This window comes from Homo sapiens, chromosome 1, assembly GCF_000001405.40.
Source record: "Homo sapiens chromosome 1, GRCh38.p14 Primary Assembly".
Lineage (NCBI taxonomy): Eukaryota > Metazoa > Chordata > Mammalia > Primates > Hominidae > Homo > Homo sapiens.
The window spans coordinates 62896335-62905464 of record NC_000001.11 but is presented as its reverse complement, the minus strand read 5'-3'; the positions used below and the strand labels follow the sequence as shown (position 1 = coordinate 62905464).

The 9130-nt window shown below is 38.7% G+C and overlaps 1 annotated feature.

The window, feature by feature from the left end:
• Positions 242-1787: an enhancer, noted in NCBI's record as "VISTA enhancer hs311". NCBI's record gives its function as "enhancer in: neural tube[5/5]" and the evidence as "EXISTENCE:transgenic organism evidence [ECO:0001131][PMID:17130149]".

The following is a 9130-nucleotide window of genomic DNA, read 5'->3' as shown; positions in this document are numbered from 1 at the left end:
TCCATTTTATAGAGTCATTCAGTTGGAAAAGGTAAATGTTCTGGGGTTTTGAGCCCACTGTAATTGTCTGTGCATAGCCCATCTCTCCCTGGCCTTCCACCCTTGTCTTGATTCCGTAACCCCACCGCCTCCCAGAACCGTATGATAAAATACCAGGGCCAAAATGAAGCGCCATCAGTTGAGAAGCTTATCCACTGGCAAAACCCCATGCCTCACTGAAAATTTGGGCCGTGCAACAATGCTAAACTCAGCAGCACGAGGAGAAGGTGTTCCCGGAGCATTTCCTGTTGTAAATAGAGATGCCGCACACTAAAACAGCAGGCTTAGTACATTAAAACACTCCTCAGTTATTAAAGATGATTCTCTGATTAAAGGAAGAGAAGTAAATGGGCAGACGGCAGTATTCTCTCATGATACATTGTGCGAGGCTGGAAGCAAGATCTGCACACAGCTGCTTGCTTCAACTGTATTTGTTAAACCCATAACTCTCTGGTGCTTTTTCCCTTCATAAGCCATTCTTTTACTACTTGAAGGTTTTGAGTTGATAATATTCCCTCATAACTGCAGGTAAAATGTTATGCTAATTTCAACACATGGCCACAATATTATCTCCCAAAGGACTTCTAGACTGAAGAACCATGATTATCATAATTATCACCAGCTTTTATTCAGGCAAAGATCCAAGAATGTAACCACCCCCCTTACACACACACACACACACACACTCACACCCCCCCACACACACTCACACCACCCTTTGCATATTTGACTGTGTTTCCTAATTATTCTACAACAAAAGGCTTCTGCAAATGCATAAATGCGAGGCCAGATGTACTCCACTATTCCAGGGAATACAACAACCCTCCTGTGACAATAAAGAGAAACTTCAGTTTAAACAAAAAAGTTCCACCATATTTGCTCAGACTAACTATGATGAAAGGCAATGAAGACACGAGCTTCTCATGTAGGTATCAATATAAATATTACTGGAAGGTCAATTAATATGTAAATTAACTCCTCCATTTAATTAGCTATTTAACTATTTTCTGAAGCATGGACATATTAAATCATGCTTAAAGACCCCTCTAACTAGCCTCATGACGATAGCACTAGGGAGTCGCAGGCTCATAAAGCACCGACTTGACCTATAAAGAGCCCCGAGTCTGCTAATTCCATCTCAGGCTAATTTTATTACTTGCATAAAATAACCATAGTGCAGCTTTGTGGCTGTAAAGAGGATATGGGTAATAAAACTGGCACAGAAAAGCATCTGAAATATCCTCTTTACCAGTGTCCTCATTTATTATTCTATTATTCTTTGCAGGATACCAAGCCCATGCAAAAGATAAATGACCTTATTACATTAAATAATTTGTGAGGATATTAACCGTTAATCACACATAAACAGCATTTAAAAGGTATTGATTTTCCGCACTCTCAACAGCTTGTAAAATTTATGTCCAATAACAAGATAATAGATAATCAGATGAATTATGCCGGTCATTCAGGGGACAAAGAAAGGTAAAGCTAAAATGAAAGGGTCAAGGCTCCAGAAATGCTCAGCTGGTAAAAAATATATATATGTACACATATATATGTATGCGTCCATCTATACATCAGGAGAAACGACAATACGAACACAATCTACCATTATTTAGGGCCCGCTGAGAAATGAGCCCTTAAAATGGACAGCGAGTGACCCCTGCTCCGTGCCAGTGCACACACACCTCAGTCAGCCACACACCGAGGTCTCAGAGACCATGGAAGTAAACATTACGCTGGGGAGCCCTTTTGTTTAAACGCGTACAGACAGACAGACGCTCTCTTTCCTGCAGCCAAGCAATAAAGATTGAATCCATGGCCTAGTTTTAATATTCCAAACCAGAAACGCATATTAATTTTACATGGTGAATTAATTATAAATTACCCATGTCTAGGAAGTAAGCCCAAAAAAGTTAAGTTGACAAGTGAAATGTGCAAAAGGAGAAGCCATCATTCCTCCTAGCCAGTGTCTGAAACCAGACGACAAGAACCAATGGATAGACTTTTCTTTCAATTCTGGCTACTTGGCAATTTCTCCGTCACCTCAACCAAAGGCCTCCCTGGCTTCACTGGCCCCCTCTTGTCTCTCTGGCCCAGTGGGTTGGACCAATGTCTTGCCCCAGTGCCTTTTTCCTCATATAGGACCTAAGACCGTTTTTGCAAGAGCAAAGTAAAGAATGTTTTAGCAACAGTATCATGGATGCAATACCATTTCAAAAATTGTCCATAATGCTTGTGCTCGAGACAGTGTATTTATTCTTTGGCATTTTTTGAATAATAATAATAATAAGCTTCACTTGAATAGTATAGAAACAGCCAAGGGAGAAAGCAAATGAAGATGGAACCAGATGAATTCATTCAAGGCCTGCATTTTCCACACCTCTTGGCTTGCTTCAGTCTCCTCACTCAGTCTTTATTTGCACCCTTGAAGTGAATGATTTCCACAGGAGTCAGTGGGAGAAATATGTATATCTAGGTGACAGGAATGGTGCCAGACGGAGACTCATATAGACCAATATAAATGAGCAGCTCCTAAGGTAATGGGGTCTACTCACCATGTCAGAATAGGAGGGTGGTCTTCTCTGAATGCCAGCAATAATACCACCTTGAAAATTAAAGTGGAGACACCAGTCTGTCCCTAATTCTACACATTACGTTCACGTGTATATTTGCCCTGGTGTGAAGATGGTTACAAAGAAAAAGGAAAGGACGGGCGGGAAGGGAGACCCTAAGAGGCCGACTCTGTTGTTATTTCTAGGCCTGTGTATTAAAATATTCACACATAAATGATGAGGGCAATTTACTATCTCCGCTCATACCTCTTAGACGTCCTTTTTGGTTTCGGTTTTGCTTATTTTTAATGCTCAGACCAAATTTGAATGGTCCTTTCCAGAAAATTAGGGTGAGAAAAAGGAAATGGTTACAAATTTTAATTCTTTGGGTTGCTCTGAGACATTTTTCGTTTTTGATTTTTAACCATGTGCCTCCTTTTTCCTTGAATTTTGTGTTACATCCTCTAACACAGTAAGCATTCAAGAATACATTAAACTGTTGAAATAATACATTAACTGGAAAGAACTGTGATGTGGTACACATATCATCATGAGATGAATATTTCATTGAATTTGAAGGCAGAAGCTCTGGACTCAAGTCCAGGTCTGGGCATGGCCACTTCTTAGCTTTGTAACCTTGGGCAAGTCACTTAGCTTCTCTAAGGCTCAGTGTCCTCCCAGTGATATCTATATCCATCTCTCAAAGTTTCTGTGAGGTTTAAATGAGAAGTCATTCCAACAACATTATTTACTAGGATTCTCCAAAATGCCGGCTGTGCAAGTCACTGGGAAGCTCTGTAATGGCACTTGGTAATCGTTAACAAATATGAAGAATTATTATAACCATAAAAAATAAAACATATTCCTGTGTGTTATCCAAATAGCATTGCCAAGCAATATAATAGTAGCTAAAATATGTTGAAATATTATTATATTCCAGTCAATGTACTAAGCTTTCTACATCATTATTTATTCTAACATGCAACTCTCTGAGGGGGATGCTATGAGTGTCCCCATTGCACAGATGAGGAAATGGAGGTTTATAACAGGTTATGTAACTTTCCAAAGAATGTGTAAGTTCCAGAAGCTACGTTAGAACTCAGGCCTATTTGACTCAATATATCCAGACTTTGGCCAAATCCTTGTCTCCCACCTCCCCCCTTAACATTTTCAATTCTTTAAAATGTAATGTTTAAATGTTTTTAGATAATATTTGGTGTGATCACTTTCCTCGTCCCTATGTTTCTCCTTTATTCAATTTCAAACAAGACTTGAGGCTCCAGGATGATGCTACAGAAAGCATTGGCATAAGACCTTGCTTTGTCCCAGGTGCTTTCCCTTGCCACATGACAAGCCTCACTACATCCCAGGGGGGTGATAGGGACCAGCGATCCTCTTTACAGATGGGGAATGGAGGCACAGACCAGTGGAGGGACTTGCTGAAGCTTCCATTGCCTGTTAGTGATGGCATCAGGACCAGAGACCAGATCTCTCAACTCCAAGTCAGGGCATCTCCGTGTTTCCTCTGAAGGGAGGGGTGAAAGAATGCTGAGAGCCCGAACATGTTTAGCCAAATCCTGTATACAGAAGACATAAGGGAAGGACAGTTCATATTTATTGAGCATGAAACATTTTTAGGGATTTTAGTGAGTTTTCTATGCTTTATTTAATTAAGAAATAGTAAATAAAACAGTTCACTTATCCATACATGCCTGACACATGCCCATACATAATAAATGCTCAATATATTTCTTCAGTGAAGTAAAAGTTTCAGGCTCATAAGGAAAAAAAAAAAGAGGACTCACGATATTTCCTAAATGTATATGGAAGCGTTAAATGTGATGCAGGTAGAAGAAAACATCTACTTTGTATTAACCTAGATCGGTACTGGTTTGGTAGCCTTGAAGTAACTTCAACCGAGAAAAATCAGCAACAGGGAGGAATGCACAATATACAAGTTTGGAAGGGTAACCCTGGCAAAAATGCTGCCCTTGCTCCCTTCTTCCACCCCTTCAGCATGGCAGGCATTGCTAATAGATCATGGCACTATTTCCTGCTGATCCTGGATAGAGCCTCAAGAGTCCTCAAACACCTTGCTCCAGGCAACTACCACTAATCCATCAGAATTGACACTCATGCTGAAATCTATTTGTCATCCCTGATAGACTTAAAGGCTCTTTCTCTGTGGCCTAAGGGGGACTCAGAACCAGCTCAAGCTGTGTATACATCTCTTTCACTTTGCCAAGAGAAGGGTGCAATCTACAAAGCTATTCTTTGGGACCATTCTGATTGGTTTTAAACTTTATGGAGGAAGTGCTGGCCTTAATTACAAAATCTCTGAATGGGTTCCTGTGTGACACTGTGAAATCTTTTAGATACTTTTTGTAAATAAGCTAGATTCCTACTGGTTCAGAATTATTGGGCATAGCCCTGCCTATGAAAAAGATTGAAACAAAATAGTCTCTAGAGATGAGCTCTGGTCCTATTATTGGATTTGTATCGAGCCAGGGTTAATAAAACATCTGTGAAACAAAGGTATGTATGTTCATAGATAATATTTGGTATGATCACTTTCTTTGTCCCTATGTTTCCCCTTTATTTAAACAAGACTTGAGGCTCCAAGATGATGCTACAGAAAGCATCAGCATAAAACATTTCTTTGTTCCAGGTGCCTCCTTTGCCACATGACCAGCCTCACTACATCCGCGGGGTGTGAGTAGGGACCAGTGATCCCCTTTACAGATGGGGAATGGAGGCACAGACCAGTGGAGAGACTTGCTCAAGGTCCCACTGCCTGTTAAGTGATGGCATCAGGACCACAGACCAGATCTCTCAACTCTTTGAACATCTTATGTATGTTCAAAACTCAAAATGTTGTGACAAAATTGGGGAAACTTTTATGTCTACAGTTAAGGGATGTCATATGTGCATTTTAAAGTATTTTCTGAAATATACATTTGTGGCATATTAAGAACTTTAAAACAGAACATTTTGGAAACCACAAATTATATAATTTGTATAATTTTTGGTATGGTTCCACATGTTAAGCCCTTAGAAGATACCACAATATGATCCACTCCAAATCTGATCAATTGACCAAAATTAAATCAAAATCTTATCTTTTCATTAAGTCACATTCTAAAGGAAGACAGTTAAAAGGACGGTAAAACCATATGATGATTAGGTTATGTCTTGATTTCATACTGTGTCATTTTAAATACCATCATTCATGATTCTGAAACTCATCAAAATTTCCTGACCTGAGCAGGTCTCTACCTAGAAAAAAAATGTTCTAATTAAAACTATTAGCCAGTATAAGAAGAGCTCTACACTAAAAGCTTGGCTTGGAATAGCAGCACATTAACATAAGATGCCACTCTACTAAGAGGAAAGGTATCTCAGAGGTTCTTGTCCAAAAAAGAGTGTCCTGAAGAATTTAACTAACCCGAATAAATTAGCACATGATGTCACCGTTATTCCCTTCCTGGAGAGTGCCACCCTAAGCAGCACCAACACTGAAACCAAATGAGAAAGATGTGCTCCTCTTGTGGAACCTGAGCCTACAGCAGAAAACCTTCACTGGAGACCTTAAGTGAGTTAACAATGAGCTGTTTTGTTTTTTAAGTACCAAACATATTCAATAGATTCCCTAGAATATTAATAATTTCTGTGAACCCCAAGAAGGAAAAAAATGTACTTAAAACAGACAAATGATATCAAAAGTTTATGAGGCCAAATATCTATCAGTAATGCTAACATTTTTTGAATGCTTACTCTGTGCCAGGCACTTTTCTAAGCATTTTGCCTTATGAATCCCCACAGTAATCCTGGGGGTCAATGCCCCATTTTACAGAGGAAGAAACTGAGGCACAGGGAGGTTGCATAACTCACCCAAAGTCAGTGACAGAGCTGATATTTGAACTCAAGGTCCGGGGTCTTCATCATCATGCTCTACTTCTCTTAATATGTTTATAGAATTTTTTGTTCTATTTTGGAAAGAAGGAGGAAAGGAACCATGACCTTTTCCTCTGACTTTAAGCTGGGATGAGAGGAAATTTTCCATCACAGTCTTCTACATTCTGACTGTGGGTGACTAAACAACTAGAAAATTCTGGTTTTCAGGGATTTAAAACAAAGACGGAACTAGGCCATCCAGATGTCATTTGGAAGGCTGTGTAAAGAGAGCCTAGTTTACATAAAATCGATTCCATCATTTCAATGTTGGAAGTAAGGTGTGCTAATAATGCAGGTGATGAGGAGCCTTACAGAATTATTTTGAGGTTAACTAAAAAAATATGTAGTCCTACTGTAGGAAGAGATATAAAAAACAGAGGATGCCAAAGGCCTGGAAGATCAAGAGCAAGGATCTGATGGTCCTTCCTTCCTTTTAAGATTTTGGATTCACATTCTTCCTGAATGTCTTTACATTACATTGTTGTCTGACTTATACCTGCTGGAAGATTTTCTTTTGTCAAAAACCAGTGCATTAACATTTCACCGAGTATAGCCCTGTGAAGTTTCCATAATGAAAATGTGGTGCATGTGCACACGTACATACGCATTGCACATGCACACACATACACCAGACGGGGACGGACCTCTACCTTGAGAAAGCCTGTTTATGTTCTCGGTTTACATATTATTAAACCACCCATCTGATCTCTAATGGCAGCCCTGCTGACACTGTCTGACCCAGTTTGACAATCTGGATAGAAATCATAGGGTTGGCTGTTCAATGGCTGTGACTTTTAACAGCACTGCTTTTGGGCCTCAAATCAATTCTCTCTGTTTACAGACCATTTCACAGCCCTTTACCTGCAACATCACTTGTGTCAGTCCCATAAATACTTTGGTGTATATAATGCTTGAATTAGCATAATGGTTTAGGCTCTAAGCTCTCAGCCCAAAGAAGGACACATCAACATGTTCTCTTCACTTAAGCAATTAAGAGCCATTATGCTGCTTCAGTGGAAATATCATCAAGGTTAAAGACAATCCCAAACAGCCCTCTCACCTTTTTATTCTAAGTCTAATAAATGAGGCATAGAAATTGAAATGTTAGTAAACAGTTCTACTTGCAAGCTCTTTTTGAATCATGCTTAATCAGACCCTCATTCACTAGATGTTTGCAACAGATTCAGAAATATGTATATTGAATTGTTCATTTCGTGTAAGAAAACAGAGTTTACTGATTTTATTTCAAAGCCACAGTGAGCACTGATTTATCTTTGCCAGATTTTTAAAAATTTTAGCATCAAGTTACATAAAAAAATTTCTATACTCTTATTATTTGATACGACAAAAGTGACATTTTAATGATGTGATAATGTTGCTGTGACTTTTACACTAAGGCTGTATTTCCAAAGTCTTTCCTTACTGTCTTCATTTAAAATTTTTTTAACCCAGCTTTATTGTAATATAATTTATATGTAATGCAACTCAACTTTAAGTGCACAGTTTGATGCATTTTGGTAAATTAATCCCATTGCATAATTACCATTATAATCAAGATACAGAACATTTCCATAACCTAAAAAAATTCCTTCATGCCCTTTTGCAGTTAACCCCCTCCCCCTCCCCCTGGTAACCAATGATCTGCTTTTGGTCACTAGTTTCGCCTTTTCTAGAATTTCGTACAAATAGAATCAGACAGTATCTACTCTTAAGCGTTTGGCTTCCCATTTTCTTTATATCTTTTCCTCTTTATATCTTTTCATCTTTATATCTTTCCCTCTTTATATCTTTCCCTCTGTTAGCAGTGGGAAGGTAATTTTGTAGGAAACATAACTTGGGTGGAATCTTGGCTCCACCATTTCTAGCTCAATGGCCTTGAGTGAGTTATTTACATTCTCTGGACCTTAGTTTCCTCTTTTGTAGAATGGAGATAATACCCTCATGGGGCTGGTAGGGGGTATAACTAACTCTCTGCATATATGCTTAGGTAAGGCAGCTCAATCAATGTTAGTTCCTTAGACTGGTCATTCTCTCTCCAGCTCTTTGACTTCTCACTACAAGTTAGGAGACAGCTTGCTGCAGCTCTCACTACTAAGACAGAATCTAGTGAGGCACAAGAGAACTTTTTCAGTTTTGGAAATATTCTATTTCTTGGTTGTAATGGTAATTACACAACTGCATACATTCGTCAAAAACTCATGAAACTGTATACTTAAAACTGAATTTATTATATGTAAATATATTACAATAAAGCTGAGGGTTTTTTTAATCTAAAAGTAATAATATAGAAGGACCTTGAAAATATCCCTTGGTTTAAAAGAGACGTGATGAGAGATAACCTTGACTCAGTGCTTCATCAACAGAGCATGTTGCTTTGGTCAAATAAGGGAAGCGTTCAAAGCCTTCAGAGTAGAAAATCTAATATAGCCAGCAAAAGCACTAAAAGTAGCAAATGTTATGTTCACAAATCATTGTCTTTGTGTTGACTTTTTAAGTTTAAGAAAGCAGTTGTGCAATGAAAGTATAAGTAGTGTGACATAAAACCCGTGTGTGTGTGTGTGTGTGTGTGTAACAGAAAATGA